The 24,711-nt window shown below is 39.7% G+C and overlaps 1 protein-coding gene across 17 annotated transcripts in view, besides 1 other annotated feature; it reads left to right on the top strand.

The window, feature by feature from the left end:
* Positions 1-24,711, top strand: part of ENOX2 (ecto-NOX disulfide-thiol exchanger 2) — a 280,885-nt gene that overhangs the window by 144,915 nt on the left and 111,259 nt on the right. The gene's annotated exons all lie outside the window — the stretch shown is intronic.
* Positions 19,093-19,847: an enhancer, noted in NCBI's record as "OCT4-NANOG hESC enhancer chrX:129872422-129873176 (GRCh37/hg19 assembly coordinates)". NCBI's record gives its function as "activates a minimal SCP1, AML or CMV promoter by ChIP-STARR-seq in naive and primed H9 embryonic stem cells {active_cell/tissue: H9 hESC(naive and primed)}" and the evidence as "EXISTENCE:reporter gene assay evidence [ECO:0000049][PMID:30033119]".

Below are 24,711 nucleotides of genomic sequence, written 5' to 3'. Positions count from 1 at the left end.
TTAAGAAGATAGTATGTGGGAGAGAGAAGTAGTTATGACTATAAAAGTTGGGCAACATGAGAGATCCTTGTGGTGATGGAAATGTTCTGTGTCTTGACCACACCAATGTCAATATCTTGGTTGTAATATTGAACTGTAATTTTGCAAGATGCTACCATTGGGAGAAAATGGGTAAAGAATGTATAGTATTGGCTGAGCAGGTGACTCATGCCTTGCCTATAATCCCAGCACTTTGGGAGGCCAAGACAAGAGGACTGCTTTACTTCTCATAACAACTGTATAAAGTCATTTATTGTCATAAGCCTCATTTTATAGACAAGGAAACCAGGAGTTTGAGACCAGCTTGGGCAACATAGCAAGACCTCATGTCTACAGAAAGTAAACAAAATAAAAATTAGCCAGGGGTGGTGGTGTGTGCCTGTGGTCCCACCTACAGGAGAGGCTGAGCTAAGAAGACTGCTTAAGCCTGGGAGGTCGAGGCTGCAGTGAGCTGTGATTGTGCCACTGCAATCCAGCTTGGGCAACCGAGTGAGACCCTGTCTTACAAAAAAAAAAAGAATGCGTAGTATCTCTCTGTATTATTTTTTATGCCTGCAGATGAATCTATAATTATTTCTAATTAAAAGTATAATTAAAAAGAAAATATTAAGACAAGTGAATGACCACCTAAGGGACAGGACACTTAAGTACAGCTAAATCCCCATTCTGAAAAGCAGTGGTAAAAGAATTGAAACATAAGAACTGGGAAGGGCCATTTTTGAATTGATGACCTCTTCCCCATCATACCTCTTTCCTCCCTGGTCATCTTAAAGCACAAAGATTTTAACCACAAAAGGTTATTTTCTGCTGCCTGTCATGCCTTTTTGCAGAGAATGTGAAGGTGCAGGAACTAATCAGGATCTTTCTTGGAGCTACATTGTGTAAATTCTATGAATCTGCCCCTCAAGATCAATATTCCTTAGCTACATGACCTTATTCTTTCACCAGTACAGCTTGGACAAAATGCATTGTGCATGTCTATGGGAGTGGGAGACATGAATTTGTAAGGGAACGAGCATGTGTATGAATGAGCACAGGTATGCTAATGCTGGCAGGATTAGGGGAGCAGAGACAAGATAGGTTTTAGTGATAAATATATGTTGCCACATTCCCACAGGGAATTTGACATCCTCATCCTAAGGAAAATATTGAAGATGAAGAAAATAGAAGAGTGAGTAATTAAGATTTGAGAATTCTTATGGGACGTATGAAAATTTTATGCTTTAGTCACAGGAAATATTCTGAACAATTATGTAGCACTGTGCTTACAAAGGTGAAGATTCATTTACCACAGTACAGGGTACATTATTGCCTGAATGAATATGCTTTGTGCTTCCAGTTTTCATCTTTTTCAGAGGCAACTATTGCCAATTGCCTAGTTTAGCTAATAAGTTAGAGTTTTTGTACTACAAGCTGTTGTCCAAGACCCAAAGTCAATTTACCAATTAGTATTCTTCCTCTTTCCCAATAGCTTCCCACCTGCAGCTTATCCATCCAGAAAACGGGCAGAGTATGGCAAGAGATTATATTTATTGAACACAGTTTAGGGCATGAGATCCATTCAGTCTGGAGAAAATGTTAATGAATCAAGTTACAAACCCACAAGTACCAGAAACATATTCTTAGTTCTCCCTCAGAAACTGCACTGGAGAAGCAGCTTCAGTGGAGGGCCCCTCGGGTCAGAAGATAAATTAGCCACAGTGAATATCAAAAGTCAAGTACACTATCCACAGGTAGTATTCAGAGGCCAGTTACAGCAACCACAGACAGCATCCCAGGGACGATAACATCCATGAGCAGCATTTCCAAGAAAGAAGCAACGTCCATTCTGAGGCAAGATATAACATGCAAAGACTATTTCCAGGAAAGCTATGACATCCTAGACAGTCTTCACAAAAAACATACAATAGCCATAAATAGCCTTCCCAGGAAGGGTACAACATCCGCAGGCAGCAATTTGAAGCAAAGTACAATATCCTCTTTTAAAAATATGGCACTCTAGCTCTCAAGGGTGAAGTCCACATCTGTGGAAATGTTACCTACGCCAACTGTCTGATATGGGCATCATTGGAGAAAGAATGGATGTCATTCCTGAATTTATGCTTTTTGTTGTGGGATCCCGTAAGAGCTAAATAAGTCAGTGAGAAAGCAGAGGTTTGCAGATGTCAGGTTAGCTTTAGAAATGTTTGAAAAACAGATTTTCCTTGTGGCTTTTTTGTTCCTTTGTAACATAGGTCTGACAACTTTTGAGGATAAAAATTACATCATGGAGCCTGATAAAAAAATGTGACCCCATGATGTAAAAATCAAAACAATTGAACTCATGCTCATGAAGATAGTGAGTAGACGGATGGTTACCAGAGGCTGGGAAGGGTAGTGGTGGTGGGGTGGAGGGGAGGATTAATGGGTACAAAAAAATAGAAAGAATGAATAAGACCTAGTATTTGATAGTACAACAGGGTGACTATAGTCAAAATAATTTAATTGTACATTTAAAAATTACTAAAAGGGTGTGGTTTGGTTGCTTGTAACACAGAGGATAAGTGCCTGAGGGGATGGATACCCCATTTTTCATGATGTGATTATTATGCATTGCATCCCTATATCCAAATGTCTCATGTACCCTATAAATAAATATACCTACTATGTACCCATGAAAATTAAAAATTAAAAAAACATGTGACCCCATGTGCTTAGTACTCAGAAACACATGGAATCCTAGGACCATAGAACCATAAAAATTTTAGAGGTACATCTTCATTTTTTAGTTAAGGAAACTTCCCAGAGAGCAGACTTTACCAAAGTCACATAGCTCTCCTGATTCCAGTGCTATTTAGATGTTTATATGATAATAACAGTGATAAGAATTGCAACAACAACAATAGAAAAAATAACAGCTAACATTTTCTTTTGAGCTCCTACTGCACCAGGCACTGTTCTAAGAACTATACATGGATTATCCCCTTTACTTCTGATAACAACCTTATAAGGTCATTTACTGTCATTAGCCTCATTTTATAGATGAGGAAACTGAGACACAGAGAGGTTTAATGACATTGTTCCATAATGCCTCAATGATTTCCTTATTATTAGGGCTTACATCATAGGATTACCAAACTAGATTGTTAGACTAAAATCAAGTGATTGTGCTGATGTAATTTAGTCTGCAGAATTCTGGATCACTGTATGTTTCAGTGGTGATGTAATTTTCAAAAACAATCTGTTCAGACTCTATATTTTATGTGATGCAGTCTGTCCCTTAACTCCTAGTTTCTCAAATTTCTTGAGTTCTGGAAGCTTACTTAAAATATAAGCCAAATGAAAGGTTTACAAGACATGCTCTGAGCATGTAGTTTTTTAAAATGTTAGATTCAAGGGTACAGGTACAGGTTTGTTACATGAGTATTCTGCATGATGCAGAGGTTTGGGCCTCTAATGATCCTGTTACCCAAGTAATGAACATGGTACCCAACAGGTAGTTTTTCAACCCTTGCTTCCCTTCCTCTCTCCCCTCCCCCTTTTGTAATCCCCCGTGTTGATTGTTCTCATCTTTGTGTCCATGTGTACCCAATGTTTAGCTCTCACTTATAAGTGAGAAAATGCAGTATTTGGTTTTCTATTTCTGCATTAATTGTCTTAGGATAATGGCCTCCAGCTGCATCCATGTTGCTGCAAAATATATTATTTTGTTCTTTTTTATGGCTGCATAGTATTCCACAGTGTATATGTACCACATTTTCTTTATCCAATCCACCATTGATAGGTACCTGGGTTGATTCTATGTCTTTGCTGAGCACATAGATTTTTGTTGTGTTTTTCACTAGTGGACAACTAAGTGACAGTGTTTGAAAGATACCAAAGTTGGTGTATACTTGTGTTTTTCAAGTACTAGGTAGACATGTTAGACTTATTTTTCGTAAGTCAGTACAATCCATGCATTTTTCGCAAGCCAAAGACTATAAGTCCATTCTCTGAGATTCATGTGTTCAACTGGCACAGGTTGGAAAGAAATTTTATACTTCAGCTTCTTTTTTGTCTTTTTCCATATTTTTCCTTTTATTTTTAGTTGACACATAATAATTGTACATATTTATAGGATGCAGATTGATATTTTGAGCCATGTATGCAATGTGTAATGATCTAAGCAGAGTAATTAGCATACTCATCACCTCAAACATTTATTATTTGTGTTAATAATATTCAAAAATGTTCTTTTCTAGCTTTTTGAAAATACATAATAAGTATATTTAACCATATTCATCCTACATTGCTGAAGAACACCAGAACTCATTCCTCCTATCTAGCTATAATTTCATATTCATTAACCAACCTCTCCCCATGCTCCCCACCCCTTTCCATATGATCCAGCAGTCCTTCTACTGGGTATTTATCCAAGGAAAAAGAAATCAGTATATCAAAGAGTTGCCTGCACCACCATGTTCATTGCAACACTATTCACAATAGCTAAGATATAGAACCAAACTAACCGTGTATCAATAGATGAATGGATAAAGAAAATGTGGCATATATACACAATGGAATACTATTCAGCCATAAAAAAGAATGGAATCATGTCTTTGGCAGCAAAATGGATCAGCCTGGAAATAAAAGTCAGGCATGGAAAGATAAATACCACATGCTTTCAAAGAAGAGCAGAGACAGACAGACAAATGGCCAGAGGGAGATAGACAGGCGAATATAAAGATAGGAATGGACAGAGGTGGATAAAGGCAGGGATAGACAGACAGGGAAGGATAGACCAAGAAGGAGAGACAGAGCCAGTCAGATGGAAAAACAGAAAGGCAGAGGCAAACATGGATAGATAAAGGTATAGAGATCAACTGGTTAATATAGAGAGATGGAAGCATACAAAGAGAGATGGACAGACAAAGAGAAGCAGACAGGTGGAAAGGAAGGCAGACTGGCAAACAGAAAAAGATGGAGAAAAGGAGGAACAGAGACAGCAGTGAGGAACAAGGAGAGAGATATGGGGACACACTGAAACAGAAGAGATAGAATGGGGAGGTCACAAAGAGAGAGAGAAAACAGGGTAGAGAGAGAAAGACCCAGAAGCAGAGAAAGCTAAAGAACTAAAGAGAGACAGAAGGAGAGAGAAACTGAGTGAGAAAGAAAGTCAAGAAGAAAAGAGAGAGAGTAAAATTGGCAGAAAGAGAAAAGAAGCAAATAACACTCACATGGACAGACAAACCCTGAGAGATAGACAGAGAAGTGGGGTGTTGCGGGTATTGCAGAGAGATGAAGAGTTAGAATGTGATACAGGAAGACAGAGACAGAGACAAAGCAGAGAGAACACACAGAAGGAGCAAGGGACAGAGAAAGAAGTGAGGGAGATACATACAGAGCCAGAGACAGATCATCATAGAGAGAAGCAGAGACCACAAGAGACAGCAAGATAGAAAAGACAGTGAGATAGCGAGAGAAAGAGAGTCAGTGAAAGTCACTCAGACAGAGAGAGTTGGCCAGATGGAGCTATATGGGAGAGGCAAAGGAAAGAGAAAGAAAGAGATGAGGAGATAGACAAATGGAAAGAAAGCCTGATAGACTAAGAGACAGACAGGCAGAAAAACAGGAAGACGAGAGAAATAGGCAAGGAGAGAGAGAAACAGAAAGAGGCAAAAAGAAACTGTTGCAGAGAGATAGGTAGACACAGAAAAAGTGTCAGGAGAATCAGGTAGAACCGGAGAGAGACACTGAGACAGTGATTGAGAGACACACTGAGACAAGACACTTAGAGAGACAGAAAGGGAGGGCCATGAGGCATAGGAGAAAAGGCAATACAGAGAGAGATGCAGATGGAGAGAGAGAGAGACCCAAGAGAGTCTGGGGGAGAGAGATAGGGTGATAAACAAAGCAACTGATAGACTAACCAATAAAGGGAGAATCAGAAAGACACAGAGAGCAAGACAGAAAGTAGAGAGATAGAGAGCCAACTAAATGGACAGAGAGACAAACTGAGAGATGAATGAGGGCAGGGAGAAATAGTGAGAAAAAGAGGGAGTCACATGCAGGGAAATAGAGGAAACAGATGGGGAGGGAGGGAAGGAAGGAAAGAGACAGACTAAAAAAGAAAGGTTAAGGAGGGAGATGAAGAAAGAAGGAACAGGTAGAGCCTTATAGAGTCATGTCCGGGACATATTGATACAAAGACACCAACAGAGAAGTAGTCAGAAAGAGGCAGTGTAATAGATTCAATCTATCAGAAAGACATAGAGAAAATGAGAGAAAACATACTGGGAGAAAATATTTGCAAACCATATATCTGGTAAGGGTATAGTATCCAGGACATATAAAGGACTCTTACAACTCAACAACAAAAAGACAAACAACTCAATCAAAACATAGGCTAAGGACTCAAATAGACATTTCTCCAAAGAAGATATATGCAAATGGCCAATAAGCACATGAAAAGATGTTCAACATTACTAGTCATTAGGGAAATGCAAATCAAAACCATAATTAAATACCACTTTGTATCCATTAAGATGGCTAGAATCTAAAAGACAGAAAATATCAACTGTTTTCAAGAATGTGGAGAAATTGGCACCCTTCTAAATTTCTGGTAGGAGTATAAAATGGTTCAGCCACTTAGAAAACACTTTGGTGGTTCCTCAAAAAGTAAAACATAGAATTACCATATGAACCAGCAATTTCACTGCTGGGTATATCCAAAAGGATAGAAAACAGGTACTCAGACAAGCATGTATGCATGCATATATAGCTGCATATGTTCATAGCAGCTATATTCATGATAGCCAAAAAGGTGGAAACAAACCTAATGTCCATCAATGGATGAATGAATAAACAAATAGTGATATATCCATACGGTAGAATATTATTCAACCATAAAAAGTAATGAAATAATTATACATGCTACAAGGGAGATAAACCTAGAAAACATTATTCTGAGAGAAAGAAGCTGGACACATAATGTCACATGTTGTATGATTCCTTTTCTCTGAAATGTCTATAATAGGTAAATCCATGGAGACAGAAAGTAGATTGGTGGTTGCCGGTGGCTAGGGGAAGGGAGGAAGGGAGGACAACTGTTTAATGAGTACAGGCTTTTCTTTTGGAGTGATGAGAATATTTGGGGACAGGGACTAGATAAAAGTAGTGCTTGCATGCACAGTGTGAATGTACTTAATTCCACTGAATTGTTCACTTTAAAATGGTGACATTGTGACAGAAAGAGAGAGAGGAAAACAGCCTGAGAGACAGTGAGCCAGCCAGCCAAACTACTAAAGGAAAGAATAAACACAGACAGACAGATACCCAGACAGGTAGGCAGGCAGAGAGAGGGACACTTATTATAGAATGAGAGAGATATGGATAGAAACAGAGAGGTACGAATAGAGTCAAAAGACAGGGAGACAAAGAGACAGAACAGGTAGATACAGAGAGAGGGACTAATGTGGCAAGAAGCACAGAGCAGCAGACAGGCAGAGAAAGACAGATACAGAGGGAAAGAGAAATGAAAACCAACAGAGAAGAATGGGAAGACAGATTGACAAGAGAAAAACGTAGGCTGTGAGACAGAAAGACAGACTTGGGAAGAGAGAGCAACAGACAAACCAAGACAAAGAGACTGACCGAGATGGGAGACTGAAAGAGTTGGACAGATACCATGTGTTATAGGCCAAAAGACAAGAAACAGAGAAACTGAGAGGATCACAGCAAGGCTGACAGCCCGAGAGAGAGGAAGAGGGTGAGAGAAAAAAATTATAGAGAAAGATAGTCAGCTAGACAAAGAGATAGAAGTAAAGACTGAGATAAATACATGCAGACACCCAGAGAAACAAGTGGACAGACAGGCTGGTGGAGAAACAGGCAGACAGATTGGACAGATAACCAGAGTACAGACAGACAGATGGGTAACACAGAGACAGAGAAACAAAAAGAGACACATACAGAGACTGACAGAAAGACAAAAGAGACAAAGTATTAACAGAGATACTGAGACAAAGAAATGAACAAAGAGGCACAGAGAGGCAGAGATACTGACAGAGACAGGAAGGCAGACATAGAGCACCAGGCAGACCAACCAAAAGACAGACAGACTGAAAACTAGACAGGGACACTTAAACAGGGATATTTAAACAATGAGAGAAAAGTAAATAGATTGTCAGAAGCCGTTGGTCAGAGACAGATAGACAGACAGAGTGAGATGCAGACAGGCAGAGGGAGGAAGGGAGCAACAGAGAGAGAGAAGAAAGAAAGACACTGACTGAGCAACAGACAAAGAGCAACAAAGAGACAGAACCTGAGAGAGAGAACCATACAGTGACAAGAAGCAGGAAGACAGAGAGAGTGTCAAAACAGACAAGGAGACACAGGCAGAGAGGAATTGATGGATGGACTGAGAGACGGACAGAGAAACAGAAAGAAAAATAGACAGAAAAACAGATGTGCTATGACATAGACAAAAATGCAAGCAGAGAGACAAATTGCAAAATAAATGGAGAGGTGCCCTCTCACTCTTACCGTCAAAGGCCCCACCATCACTACTACAAATGCTCTTCCTTTTGAGCCTTAGATGAGTGACAACAGGGAGAAATTTTAGCATTGTCCCTAGATCATGGTAGAGACTTGGGGGAAGGTGGTGTCTGGCAAAAATTATTCAAATCATGCTCGCAAGGGGACTGAGTCTGAACATCATTGCTTTTTGGAAATATCCCATGGCCCATGTGCTATTAGGTAGAACACTTGTCCCCTGTCAGTACTGTGGAGTTTGGGTTGTTGTTATTTTGGTTTTTAAGCAAACACATGAAACCTTCCAGAAGTCCATTGTTTGCAGATTTCCCATCATGCTTCCTTTCTCCCTGGAGGAAAATGCTTTGTTTCTTTGATAAAGCAAACTGACCGCTTTTCTCCTTTACAGTTTTCTACTGAGTGTCTTGTTTTCATAGTTTAGAATTCATATAGCTCTCAGGCAAGTTTCCCTAAGATGTTTCTACTTAATATTCAGCCGCAGTGCCAAGAAGTTTAACATTATTTTCATTTTTTAAAATAAAAAATCTAGAGGAAACCTCTCTTCTTCCTGTAGGCATTTCACTTTAAATGTCTTCAAGGGACTTTGGGCTTTTTCTTAATTATGATGGGCATCTAATATTTGCTGCCCCAACTGTATGAAAATATGCAAATAAATAAGAAAGTAGACTCCATAGGTGGCCTTTTTGTTGTGCCAGACTCTAAGATGATCTTAGCCCAGCTCCTGCCCTGAAGAAGAAAGCTATGCAAAGTGAATTAAATGCTGAGGACCAGGCTCAGCCTACCTCCTAGAACCATGGGAACTAGAGAATGAGAATAGGTCTACACTGTTTGTGCTTTGCTAAGACAGCAGCAGTGACCTGGTTTCTTAGAAAATTCCCCAGCCTGCTTCATAGAGGTCATTCCACCATCATAGAGAGGTGAATAGGAAGTTCAGTACTCCAGGGCATCAAGCAACTAACATTCGCAGGAGAAAAAGTCACTCAGCCTAGGGTTTAAGATCCAAGTTGGAATGTGTCTACTGGAACTATATCCACAATCACCTAGAAAAAATAGCTTTTTTCCTCACTCTTTATGAAATTACTGTATTTTTAGAATTAAGGTGGTTCTAGGATCATCCCATCCAAATGTCCCCCAATGGAATCAATTATTTAGCTTAAGGCTCTTTCAATACCAAGGGTTTCAACTTATTTTCAGAATTTAATTCTCTTGTTCAACTTTGTAATAGTCTAGTAAGTGAAGAAATTAAAGAGGGGAGTCAATATAATTTAGTAAAAAGAGTAGACTACTAAGTAGGGAGCTTAATGTAGAAGACAGGCAGTGATAGAAAGAGGTTAAGAACACAGGCTTAAGCATCAAACTGACCTAAGCTCTGTGTAACCTGTATTACTTCAGGAAGTGTTTCACTTCTCTTTGCTTTCTGTGTAGTGGGGAAGGTAATAAGACTCCTACAGTGGTTGTGAAGAAATAAATGAGACAATGTAAGTAAGGAGTAATATACTTCCCACAGTATCTAGCACATAATAAATAGGTGCTTAATATGTTAGCTCTTATTAACTCAAAATGAAGTGACATGACAGAGTTATGGCTTCTTGATTCCTGGTTCAGTTCTCTTTGAAAATCAGGATGTACTGAATGTGTTGCAGTGTACTTAATATGTACTCTGACTTTGCCACACCAACCTTCTGTGCCCTTTGTTGTTTTTATTCTGAATTTTCACAACTTTGGGGAAAACAAGAGCCTAATGAGTATTTTCCTCTAACTATGTAACTCTACATTTGCTTGTAATCTTTGCTATTATCTGCAGTCCTGTTTTAATGGTGGCTACAGCCTCAGCTAAAATCTGAATTGCCCGCAGGCCTCCACATGTTGAATGAATACATCTGTCCAAAGACACCAGAGACTCCAAAATCAATCAGAGCCACTTCCCCAAACTGGGGACTTGGTAGATCTGAGTAATGCTCCAAGTCTGGTACACATTGCTGCAAATCTTTATTAATGGAAGACACATAGGATGAGGAACTGTTTGTCCTCTGGCTGAGCCTAATTGCACTGTGGAAAGAGCTTGCTCAGCAGAGAAGCTCTTTGAAAACCCTGCTTCAGGGGCATGAAGCCCACAGCTCAGAGCTGCTTTGTGTCTTAAAACAGGTCATCTGTATATAGTACTGGGAGTCAACCAAGGGGTGAAACTCCAAAGCAAATTCAGAGAGGTAGTGATCAATATTCTGCTGAAACCAGGAGGTACTTGGGGTTCTTTTATCTGTATGGATTATTACAAAGTTGAACAAGAGAATTAAATTCTGAAAATAAGTGGAAACCCTTGGTGTTGAAAGGGTCTTATGCTGAGTAACTGATTCCATTTTTTTTATTATTCAGACTTTTCATTTAAAAGGCCATTTCTCATATAAATAGGTTTGGGGGAATTCAGACTTTCTGCTAAGTGCTAATTGCTGTCTTAAGTGAGTTGAAAAAAAAAACAAAAACTTAGTAGACTTGTGTTCTGTCTTTTAGGAGAGTACAATGTAAGATCTCATGTGACGTTTAAGGGCTTCATTTAGAGTACTTGTTTAAACCATGATTCACAAATATTTTTCATAGCTTGACTCCCCTGCCTCCCTGGCCAAGGGAAATGCCTCAAATCACACTTCCACCCAAACCTAAAAGCAGCTTGCACCATCAAACAACTTAGGAAAACTCCATGACACCAGTCTCCTTCATATCCCAGTTAATATTTAAGAGTAGGAGATAAGCACAGATAATTCTCCTTTTATATTTTCACTGTCAGCAACCCATGTTATACTCTAATAGCCTCTTAACTGGCCTCCAAACGTTTACTCATCTCTGACTTGCACATAGCTGTCCTGTTATGATGGAGAGAGAAGGTCCTCATGGGAGCCCTGGTTCTGGCTGTGCCAGACAGACACACAGACACAGCCACCCAGCTTGGTTTGGGGCTTAGGATAACAGACAAAAATGTAATCATCTTCCCATCCTCCCTTGATTAGACCCTAGTGTCACTCTCACATTTTTCATCAGCTAGTTGGAAATGGGATTGATTTGTGGTTAGAGACTAGCTTGATTGTTTGTTCTGCTTTCCTTTGTGGTAGGGAGTTTTGGCAGTGGGAAATTCTTGTTGGAGGAAAATGGGGACCCTAGGTACATATCAGGTTGGAAATCATAGCAGTGATATTTAAAAAGCAGTACTAATTAAGGCAGAAGAAATCTGACTTCTGATAGACACCAAGAACTAATTTGCAGCTGTTATCTTACTATCCTCAATAGCTAAAACAAGGAGGGCATCTTAACTAAAGTATAAGAGAAGGCCAAAAGCAAGGTCCCAAAATAAGGAAAGATGAAGCTATGAGTTTATGAGGACTCTTGTGTTGGCAGTGAAGCAGGTACACATTAGTCCACTAGGGAAATGAAGCTATGTCAGACAGCAGACGTGACTGAAGTTCATGATTTTGTAATTGTTCCTGGAGTGTCCTGTCTGGATGGGAAAAATGGTGAGTACAGTGTCTTCTGGGAAGTCCATTGCTGCTCATTAACGGGAAGCTTAAAAGAAATGTGTATGCTGGGAAATGCACTCACCTTTCTCACCAGTTGCTTGAATTGTCACAGTAGCAATTTTTCTTTACAGCATAGATGGCTTCTTGGAAGTGAGAACGTATGCTCTCTTTGATTCAGAGGTTATAGTTCATCACAGGCTGCAGAGAACAAATGATAGATTCCGACCAAGGGCCTAAAGTTGGAGCTAGCCAACCAAATATTTTCTGGCAGTATTTAGTACTTCAGTGCCATCTTTTGTCTCTCCTTATTTAAATTCTTAAGAATCAGTTGAATGCAGGACTTTTTCTAAACTTTAATGGTTTATACTAGTAGGGAAGGGAGGGTGAACATGAAGCTTCATCAAAAAGACGACTATCTATACAGCAGTAGTTCTTAGACTGGTCAGGAAATTCACTGCATTGCTTTACAACCTTCATTAAGGGCACTCTTCCATTGAGAGCTCTCCCATGGAAAGAAGTTGGTCTTCTTTCTCTGGGTCTTCATAAATAGCCATTGCAGGGTTCTGCATGTAGTGAATAAGCAGTAGGTGGTATCACATGTACTGTTTGGTTTCTCAGCTCTCAGCACTTTAGAATCTAGATTGTGGAAAGAAGAGGAGCACTTTTTACTGTGCCTTTTTATTCTCCAATAGCTCTTCAAACACATTGTTCTGATCCTAAAGTCAAGCCTATAGAACAAACCAGGATCCTCCAAATGTGTCCCTATCTGTGCTAAAGAGACCAAGCTTTCTGTTACAAAGTAAATTTTTTTTTCAAGACAAGCATCATATGAATCCGGATATTGGACATTGTAGTTGTTTATTAATAATAACCATTATCATTTGTGCTATACTTTAGCATATTTTCAAAATGTTTTCCGTTAACAGAGGAAAGAAAAGAGGAGGGTACTGATTTAGCACAGTAGACAGTATGAAGCAGAAATACCTGTGTTTGAATCTTGGCACTGCTGTTTAACTTTTCTATCTTAAGACTCTGTTTTCTCAACTGTAAAATGGAAATAATATCTTCATACCAAACTTATAAGGTCATTGCAAAGATTAAATGTGGTAATACTCTTCAATCTTCTAGCACAGCCGTCCGCAACCTTTTTGGCACCAGGGACCGGTTTCGTGGAAGACAATTTTTCCACAGACTGAGTCGGGGGGTATGGTCTCGGGATGAAACTGTTCCACCTCAGATCATCAGGCATTATTTAGATTCTCATAAGGAACACACACCCTAGATCCTTCACATGCACAATTCACAATAGGGTTCGCACTGCTATGAGAATCTAATGTTGTTGCTGCTCTGACAGGAGACGGAGCTCAGGCTGTAATGCTCACTCACCTGCTGCTCACCTCCTGCTGTGTGGCCCAGTTCCTAACAGGCCACGGACCGGTACCAGTCTGCAGCCTAGGGGTTGGGAACCCCTATTCTAGCACAGTGATGGACAGAAAGTTGAAGTTACAGCTCTGTAAATTCTTATGTTTATACTCCACAGAGAGCCAGAGAATCATCCTGTAATCCAGTCATTCAAATGAAAGCTTTTTGAAATTTACATTTTCTACATTTTTCTCATTGTATATTTTTAACAAAATGATGTATATTTCAATTCCTGCCTATCATAAATGCAGCATATGCTATTTTCTCATGTTGTTGCATTGGTTTAATTAATAAATTAAAAATTGTTAGGATTTCAAATTGTTCAAAACTTCCACATATCTAAATGATATCCTTATCTTTTTTCAAACCCTGGCATATATATGATTTAAAAATAAATAAATGTGTCTCTCTCTGTGTGTGTGAGTGTATAAACAGAGACACATAGCAGCAATCTTACGAAGAGTTCAAAATGCTATCTTTGGACCATCAGCTCGTAATATTTAATGTTATAAAGTTGAAAACAGATAAAGTAGAATATTTACTGAGTCTTATATCAGACAGGGAACTCATAGAGCCATCTAATTCAACTCTCCTACCACCACCAGCATCCCAATACACAATTGCATATGACACATTCCTGACAGCTATTAATCTAGCCTGTATTTGAATATTCCATGTGACATTAAGATCCCTGCTTTACAGTGTAGCCATTCCCCTGTCCATGGCCCTTCCAGAGTTCTTATGGGGATTCCATGAAATGATATGTCAACAATGGACCATAGTGCTAGGCATTTAGGAAACACTCATTAAATATAACCTATTATCCTTATCACTCGATGTTGGACCACTCTTATTGTTAGGAATTTCTTTCTTATATTGAACCATAAGCTGCCTTCTGGGTCCTAGCTTTGTAATATAAAACACATCAGACCAAGTCTAATCTTTTCATCCACATGATGGTCCTTCAAATACAGTTTCCACAAGTTTTCTCCTCTCTAAGCTAAATATTCCATTTACTTCAAAATTTCCCTCACAGGGGTCGGGCATGGTGGCTCACACCTGTAATCCCAGCACTTTGGGAGGCCGAGGCAGGCAGATCACTTGAGGTCAGGAGTTCAAGACCAGCCTGGCCAACATGGTGAAATCCCATCTCTACTAAAAATACCAAAAAAAAAAAATTAGCCAGGTGTGGTGGCAGATGCCTGTAATCCCAGTTACTTGGGAGGCTGAGGCATGAGAATTACTTGAACCCAGGATGCAGAGATTGCAATGAGCCAAGATTGCATCACTGTACCCCTGCCTGGGTGACAGAGTGAGACTCTTTCTCAAAAAAAAAAAAAAAATCCCTCATAGGAAATAGTTTCCAAACACTTCACCCCAGTTACTTCAAGCCTCTAGTGATGTTAAATGTTGTTATTTGCCCATCACAACAGAATGGTGGCCAGAGCAGAAGACAATGTGTCTATTACTTCTCAGGCTCTGGAATCCACTTAGTGCTTCTAATAATACAGCCTGAGGTATATCTACTTTTCTGAAAGGCATTTCATGTTGTTGGCTCATGTTAAAGTTGCAGACTAAATCTCCTAGCTCTTTCTAGTATGAACTATAGTGAAGTCATATTTCCCCCATTCTATTCTTCTATGGTCACCCACCTTTTTTTCTTATATTATGTTCCGCTTTCGTAGTTTTGGGCCCATCATTCCAGCCACTTTCCCTCATAAAAATAAAGCTGGACATAATAACAATGCCAGGAAGTAGCAATATTCACTGTCTTCTAGCTCCAAATATTCTCAGCAGTTTATTAGTATAAGTGCTGGTTTTCACCGTCACCCTAGCACTACTCTAATCCTTCAGGAAAGCTACAGTCAGCTCTCTTGAATCCATGTGGTTTGATTCTTTCTTGTTTCCCAGAGCCTCCAGCCTCTGCTCAGTTCTGTCTTGTTTTCAGGAGAAAGCATATTCTGGTCTAGTTTGTCAAGACAGTGTACAGCAGTGGCTAGCAGTGTAGTGTATTGGAAAGAGTGTGGGCTTTGACAACAGACAGACTTGGGTTTAAGTCCTGGCAATGCTACTTACTAGCTGTGTAGCTTTGGATAAGCTATTTGAAACCTCTCTAAACCCTAGTTTATTTGGCTTTAAGATTTCAATGGGACAGTTTATATACAGTAGTGCCTTAAATACACTCAATAAAGGGTGGTACCATTTTTTTGGAAGCCCAATTATATCACCAAGTAAGTTAAGAATACTCTCCAACTTTGTCTTATCTACAGTTATAGCAAGCAAGTTTGTTATGCCTTTATCCAGAAATCATACATTAAAATATTGAGCATGACATGGTCAAGTAGAGAGCCCTGTAGCAACTATTAGAGACCTCCCTTCAAATTGTTGTCAATCCATTCATCACCACTCTTTGAGTACAATTCTTCAACCAGTTAGGAATCCAGCTAAGTTATTATCTGGTCTGATCTACATTTCTCCATCTTTTTTATAAGGCAGTTGTGAAAGATTCACTGTAAAGATGTCATTCTAGCAGCCCTTTCACAAAAAAAAAAAAAAAAAAAAAAAAAAAAAGGAAATTATCTGTACCAAACCAGACATGTTCTTACACTGGCTTTCTGGTCAGCACTTACTTTTTTAAGTGCTTGTACATCATCTGTTTAATAAGCCATTCTTTAAACAGTGACAGCCAGCAAGCTCAGCAAGCTGTCGTTTTTAGAATCTGAGTTTCCCCTTCCTCTGAAAAAGAAAGGGGAATTAAACATAAGAAAAATGGTACATGTGGCCATAGAGAGTGGCTTCCCAGGCTTCATTTATTTCAAAAGCAAGACTGCAGTCCACCCTGGACAAAGGAAAATTATATTTGAATGCTATTTGAAAACACTTGATTTGGCATAGGTTTCTGTGGCTGGTTAGAGCTACCCAGAGTTAACAGGGCAGTTTTCTTTATCGGAAACAGAGCTAGGTTGACTCTCTTCAGTCCCTCACATTCAAAGATTGCATTGTTCTCCGTCTCTCCCCCTTTAATTAGTGTATCCATCTGTTTTTCTGGTACTAAGGGGAGGCTCTTTGGTTGGTAATTACAGCGATGTCCCTGGGCTCCTATTTTGAAAGCATGCGCCACATTCATGACCTTCCAGGCTCAGGTAACAGTTGCTCTTTCCTGGGATTATGTTGTTTATTGTTATTGGCATCTGATATTTCCTTCTACTTCTCTCAAGCCAGGGTTTTCCTTCCCTGAAGTTTCTTAGACTACTCCTCCGTGTATCTGACCCTTTGCTTATTAGAAAGCGATTATACCCAGAACAAAATGCTAATTTCCCATCCATCAGAAAGTATATGAGGGCAGGGAAGTGTGTCCAGCATACCATACCTTTAAGAAATGCTTCTTAGAGGGAGAAAATGAAAGGAGCTCAGAGGGTCAAGTGGATGGAGATAAGGATGAGCAGTTTTCAGCCTTGGGCCACTTTTGCCAGCAGTTTGCTAACTGCCCTTGAGCTGATTCCCGTGGTTCCTTCTCCTTAGTCAGAAGGCATATATATATTCCCCACAGGGCAGTCTCCTCAGACTAACCATGACGGTCCTGCAGCATCAAACCATAACTTACTTGTTCAACATCATCTCCTATTCCATCCCACAGCTATGGCCATCATGGTTTTCTGAATCAGAATTTGAATAAAAAATTAAAGCAAGTGGTTGGATCAAATTTTTTTTTAGTTTTTCCATATGAAAAAACTTAACAAATGTATAAAAATGAAGTTTCATTCATTGGCTCACCTTTATTACATTTCCTATTTAATGAGTGCTTTCATGTGCCAGCACTTTGCTCAGTACTTGGTGGGATTTTATCATAGGCTCTTCATTGCAGGCCCATTTTACAGAAGAGGAAACTAAGCCCCAAGAGGTTAATTAATTAACCCAAGATAATACAGCAAGTAAGTGGTAATCCTGAGACCCAAACCCAGGTCTGTCTGACTCCAAAGGCCAAGCTCTTAACCATTGTTATGTCTTCCTTCAATGGCATTTTATTCATAAGTGAACAGAATGTTATGAAAGGCAGACAGCCCTTTGAGCACTTAGAGTGAATCATGGCTCTACTTGACATTCTCCCACTGCTCTCTACTCAAATCAGTATCCTCACAGATATGCAACCTCATGTATGCCTGCCCCTTTGGTTTAGCTCATGCTGTTCTCTTCCCATACCCTTTACTCACTCTTTAGTCTAGAATCATCCTCTTCCTCCCCTCCGCCAGTTAAATTCTATCCATCCTTTAAATGCTTAATTCCATTTCTTCCATGAATGTTTCCCTCACTGACTTCTCTCTTTCCCATGCCACCATAGCACTTATTGTTGTGACTACCATATTTAACCCTTCATTATACACTATTTAGGGCATGTGAATTTTTTTTTTTTTTTGAGACAGAGTCTCACTCAGGTGCCCAGGCTAGAGTGCAGTGGCAGAATATCTTGGCTCACAGCAACCTCCGCCTCCCAGGTTCAAGTGATTCTTGTGCCTCAGCCTCCCGAGTAGCTGGGATTACAGGTGTGCGTCACCTTGCCCAGCTGTTTTTTATATTTTTAATAGAGACAGGGTTATGCCATGTTGGCCAGGCTGGTTTCAAACTCCTGGCCTCAGGCGATCCACCCACCTCGGCCTCCCAAAGCTGGGATTACACGCGTGAGCCACCACGCCCAGCCACTTATGAATCTTTGTGAGGTCAGGAACCATGTTTTATATTTTAAATATGTTCTCATAACACTTGCATAGGGTCACTTGTGTAGATTTTCAGTAAATATTTGCCTTGACTCTAGATATATAATGATCAATTGAATTCATTGTGTTATATGTATTTTCTCAGAGCCCTCCTAGCCACCGATCCCATTCCGACAAATTAAACCTATGTCAGAAGTCTTCAAATAAGCATAAAATTACTTTGTAGCATCTAGACCCTGTACTAAGATCTGTTCTTTAACCTATATTCCTGACAACTTCTCACAAGTATAACAGGACAATTGGAGAAATATATTGGTGAGTTAGCTGGACAAGTCAAAGTCAAGGTGTGAGTTCCATTCTCAATGCTGCCACCTACTATGACCTGGGACAAACATTAACTTCTCTGAGCCCTATTTTCCTTATCAGGTAGATGGCGATAGTAATACCTATTCTCCTCACCTCGGTGGGTTGTTAAGAAAATGTAAATGAGAAAATACATTTATCAGCATGTGTTGTAAAATATAAAGCACTATACAAAAATGGGCTATTATAATTACTATTAAACCTTCTAACCATTTTTAATTGTCTAGAAAAGAGAACCACTCTTATCAATTACAGATGTTCCTCAACTTAAAGATGGGGTTACTGCCCGATAAACACATCGTAAATTGAAAATACCGTAAGTCAAAATAGATTTAATACATGTAACCCACCGAATATCATAGCTTAGCCTAGCCTACCTTAAACATGCTCAGAACTCTTATATTAGTCCACAGTTAAGCAAAATCATCTGGCAACACAGTACCCTATACAGTATTGGTTGTTTACCCTCGTGATCGTGTGGCTCACTGGGAGCTGCAGCTCACTGCCACTGCCCACCGTCACAGGAGACTAATGTACCCAATATCACTAGCCCGGGAAAAGATTAAAATTCAAAATTCAAAGTATGGTTTCCACTGAGCATATCACTTTCACAATATCGTAAAGTCAAACAAATTTTAGTCGAACCATCTTAAGTCAGGGACCATCTGTATTTCGAAGTAATTCCATCACTTCCCTGTAGAAGGGACTCCAGCTTAGTCTTCAAAGCAGGTGTTAGACTTGGCACATGGTTTCTATTAGTTGGCCAGGATTCCTTCAGTGATAGAAGCATATGTTCCTGATCTAAAAATTGACCGATGTGGACACAAAGAGGAAACCACTTTGTTTTCAGCAGGTAATAGAGCAGCTCTCTTTGGCTGCACAGTTGGGGCCTTTTGTGATAGTACTTGCTTGCTGTGCTGCCCATGGGGTGAGTTAATGAACCACTAGAGAGCTGCTCTGAATTAGAAAGGTCATACCTGACATGAGCTATTTCAGCAGAAACATCCTGTTCTTTTCCCCTCTTCAAGGGGGAGATTTTATTTTAGACCATCTGTGATTTGCCAAAAACTTAAATTGTGTGGAGGGCAGAATGACCCTTGTGAATAAATGTCAGGAGAGAAAACACACCAGGAATTACAGAATCATCAAATGTTACAAGTGAAAGATCCCTTAGAGATTATCAAGTCCAACCCTCTCATATCACAGGTGAGGAAACTAGCATCCAGAGAGAGGAAGTGACTTAGTCAAAATAACACAGAATATCTAGTGATGGAGCTGACACTAGAAGCCAAGTTTCCCAAGTCTCCATATTTCTTGTCCACTGTGCTTTCCTCTACATCAGTTCATTTAAGTTATACATTTGAGATTTTTTAAGTAGCTATAGTGATTTCAGTGTTGTTTCTCTAAAATGGAAACGCTGCCTAATCCACTAGCCAGGAACAGCTGGAAAGATCCAGCCCTATTAATTCAGAATATGGCACTTACAGGTTTTAGCACAGTAAGTTTCCATACCTTAAAATTTCTGCCACCTCCGCAGAGGAGTCAAGCAACTATTTCACACCTACACACTACACAATATTTCTAAGTTGTTTAAATCTTCAGGAAAAGACACCAGCTTTGTGAACAGCTGGATGGCATGGTGGGATATAACATCAGAGTAGAAACTGAAAGAGTGAATTTACATTTCAAGGTAACTGATGGGGGCCTTGAACAAATCACTTAATCTGCCTCTATCAAATAGAAGCCCCAGTACTAACAGCATGTCTGTGCTCCTTCTCTGGTCCTCTCTTTTGCCCTTAGATCACATAGCACCTAGCATCTTGACTCCATCCTCCAGCCCCTTGTGAACCTTTGAAACATTATCCTTTGAACTTTCTTGGTTCTCTTGATGATCTTGTCCCACTTCCCTTTCTTTTGTCCCCCTTAGACTGCCTTACCCACTCCCTACTCCTCTGAATGGCTTGTTGTGGACTGTTCCTCAGGTGTCCTGGGCTGCCTGCAAGTCCTGAGATTCTATCAGTAAATTTTGGGTGCTGTATGTCAGAAATTCCCAGGTTAGAAATTTGGGACATCTGGCTCTGCTGTAGCCCCAAATCCCAAGTAGTTGGCTCTGGTTCCGTGGATCCTGGACCTAATACATTCTCTTCTTAGATGACTATCTTTGAGTGGCCAGAACATTAAATGTGATTTAATAATATTCTAGATGGCAGGATTGGGGTGATCTGGAAGCTATGTATTTTGGAAGCATTTCAGAAGTAAGTTGTGTGTGTGTGTGTGTGTGTGTGCGTGCGCACGCGCATGCAATAAGTAACTCTTCTTTGAAGAGAAAAGGTGGAAAATACTCTTTATAGATTATATATGTCAAGTAAACTGCTTTAAGAAACTGCACCATTGATTGTAACTTAAGGCAAAGACAAGAGAATGAACTAAATTCACATAGTTAACCTTGTTCCACTGCTATTCTGGGTATCGTGGTGCTCTTTGTGACTAGGAGTGCCATACCATCTTTGGCTAAGTCATCCTTCTTTTTCCCCATTATATTTTGCCTCAGCTACGTATGTCTTTTTCAGACTCCTAAATTAAGCTGTTGTTGGACATTTTAAGACTCCTTAAAAGCTTTTCTGTAGATACACTATAATAATTCGCTTCTTCAGAAAACTGGTTTATGGAGTATGTTAGTACGGATGGGCTACAGGAAGCACTGATTCTTTTGAAATTTCTGGTTCTAACTAAGGTCACTCAGTAGTTTGGTTGTAAATTCTTCAACCCTTCTGAGTCACTTGGGGGCTTCTCTCACAACAGCTTTATCTTTGGCAGAGCTAGGATTCACTTTGGTGGATAAGGTGGCCCTATGTAAAGCATGGCCCCAATATAGAGAGTGAAAATTATCATCTCAAGTAGCAAAAATGAGACGCTCCAGTGATGTCTCCAAGCCATTTTGGTCTTGACTCTGGAGAGCAGCAACTAATATTACCCACATTGACCCAAGAGAACAGAGAAAACTAGCTTAATTCTGAGACTTCGGCCTCCTTTATTTAGCCCCCTAGAGCATGGGTCAGTAAATACCACCTATAGGCAAAATTCAGCCCACTACCTGTTTTTGTAAATAAAATTTTATTAGAACATAGCTACACCAATTGTCATATTGTCTGTGGCTGCTTTAGCACTGCAAAGGGGAAGGCAGAGTAGTTACAAGTGACTACATGGGCTGTAAAGCCTAAAATACTTACTTAGTATAGCCCGTTACATAAAAGTTTGCCATCCTCTTCTCTAAATTAAAAACAGATGTTTGAATGGAAATATGAAGGTCATTTGGATTACAATTTCAAGTAAAAGTAATTTATAAGTTGTATAGCCACAATCCCATAGCATTTTTTTTTTTTGAGATGGAGTCTCACTCTGTCACCCAGGCTGGAGTGTGGTGGCACAATCTTGGCTCCCTGCAACCTCCCCCTCCCCAAGCGACTCTCCTGCCTCAGCCTCCTGAGTAGCTGGGATTACAGGCGCCCGTCACCATGCCTGGCTAATTTTTGTATTTTTAGTAGAGACGGTGTTTCACTATGTTGGCCAGGCTGGTCTCAAACTCCTGACCTCAGGTGATCTGCCCACCTCGGCCTCCCAAAGTGTTGGGATTACAGGCATGAGACACTGCACCTGGCCATCCCGTAGTATTTTTTAGCAAAATAATTTTACTGTGCCTACTGCTTAAAAATTTAGAAGAAAAATGTGAAGAAAGATGTGAAAAATCATTCACAATCACAACACCCAGAGAGAACCTCTATCAGCATTTCATCGCATACATTTTCTGGCTTTTTTGCCAGTGTATCTATTTTTTTAATAAAAACAATTGAATCATATTGTACATACTATTCTGTAGCCTGATTTTTTTCACCTATTAATGTATCTTGGCATCTTTCAATGTCAGTAAAGATAGATTACATCATCATTCCTACTGGCTACAAAGATTTCCATTATATAAATATGTCATCTAATGTATTTAACCAATCCTCTGTTATTGGACAGTTGGGTTATTCATAATTTATTTTCTTCTTATAGCAATGCCATAATAAACATTTATTGTATGTACAACTTTTCATACTTGTATTTTTTAATATTCTTTTCCAATTTTTTAGAAATCAGTTACTTTTATTATGTCAGAAAAAAATCTTATAGTCCTCCTCTCTTCTATGGTGAACAGATATTTTCATAAATGGCAAGAGGTTTCCATTTTATTAATATAGACACAGAACCAGAGGGACCAGGAGGTCACCTTCCCTCATGGGTAGGTTGAATTAGTATACCCAGCCAACATCATTAAATAACAGCTTTGCCACCTAAAGCATGTGCATCTCAATAGGTTTTTGTGAAAGCTTCTAGTCACATTAAATATTAATGACTGAAGACAAAGCACTGCTTTAGGAGAACATAATGGCCCAAAGGAAACTGGAAGGCTCTATTTAAAAAATAGACAAAAATACCCCACAGCACTTCTAACAGGATCAAATTTCTGATGGAGATAATAGAGCTGGCAGCCAGAAGAGAAGGTGGAAACAGCAGGAAGGTGCTATGCCCTGTGGAAATGGGCTGAACACAAAATGTACTTGGAAACCCAAGATTCTCCTCCATGCCTCTGGAGCATTAGGGAAGATGGAAAATGAGCACAGAGGTGGTGATGTCCCTGCACTGCTCCTGTGAGACAGCCAGTTCCCAAAAGCTGCAGCAGGCATTCACATAAGTAGGATTGTCAATTCACCTTTGAATGTCTCAATTCAGACACATTGGATGTTCACCTAACCCCAAGGAACTCTATTGATTGCCAGTGGTCAGCCTGGGCATTTTTCAGTGGTTTTGGTAAACAGGGAGCCAGTGTTTGGGAAGGCCTGAAAGTCAGTGTTAATCAAATGTTTAATGATATCACAGAAGAGAAGAGAGCAGCAAGAAAGATGATTGTATCTATTTGAAAATACTCTGCCAGTGGTATGAATGCATTCTCCTTATAGATCCATCATCCAGATGGAAAAGAAGGCTGGTCTTTAATATTCTGTGCAATCATTTGTGTGTGAACAGTTTGCCTTTAAAAATGAGATGTCAACACTCAGTTGTTCTTTACCCAACACTTTTCTTCCAAGTTGCCTGTAGTACTGCATGGCATCGTGATAGGTAAATTGATGCCCAATTACCCAGACACATGGAGGCAGAGAAATTTCTGCTTTCTCCCTTGTCAAGCTTATGATTTCTCAGTTTTTTCTCCTCTACAACTCGCAGCCCTCTCTTTTACTTTTCCGTGCTGTCTCCATACAGAGAGCTGTCATATGGCCTGCCCTCGTCTCCTTCAGAGGCCAAGCAAAAGAATACTCCTATTACCCCTGAGATCCACTCTGCTTAAATTACTTCCGAGGAGGCTTCTGCACCAGCAGCCTAGATCTCAGCAACAGAGCTGCTTGGAGGACTTTCAGGAACTTTAGTAGTTCTGACTCTAACCCAGAGCCTCCTAACCTTCATTAATTGTGACACACCTCTCAGCTTCCAAATTTGTAAGAGCAATAACTAATATCCCGGTGAGAGGAGCAAGTGCTGGCTCTGCAGGAAAACTCTGCCTTGCTTTCCTGCACCAGAGGGATCTCTGCAGTACAGTGGATTCGCCTGCCAAGCTAGAAATCCTGCTATAATCTGGGACACCTATCTGAACTGTATTGCAAATGGCAGAGACTATTTTCAGTCTGCTCCTTCTGTCTATCCACATCTTTTTTCTTTTCCTTTTTTAAAAATTAAATTTTTGAAATTTTGAGATAACTGAAGATTCACATGCAGTTGTAAGAAATAATTCGGAGAGGTCCCATATATCCTTTACCCAGTAACGTTTTACAAAACTGTAGTATAATATCACATCCAGGATATTGACATGGATATAGTGAAGACGCAGAACAATTCCGTTTCTCATATTGCCCACCTCCCTCCTGCCTTCCACCAACTACTAATGTGTACTCCATTTCTATAATTTTGACATTTTGAGAATGTTATATAAATGGAATCATACAATATGTAATCTTTCTGGATTGGCTTTTTTCACTCAGCATAATTCCCTTGAAATTCATTTGAATAATCGTGTGTATCCATAGTTGATTGAGTATTCCATTGTAGGGCTTGCCACAGTTTTA

Source organism: Homo sapiens, chromosome X, assembly GCF_000001405.40.
Source record: "Homo sapiens chromosome X, GRCh38.p14 Primary Assembly".
NCBI classification, from domain to species: domain Eukaryota; kingdom Metazoa; phylum Chordata; class Mammalia; order Primates; family Hominidae; genus Homo; species Homo sapiens.
The sequence above is the reverse complement of the archived record's forward strand: the minus strand, read 5'-3'. Positions and strand labels throughout refer to the sequence as shown.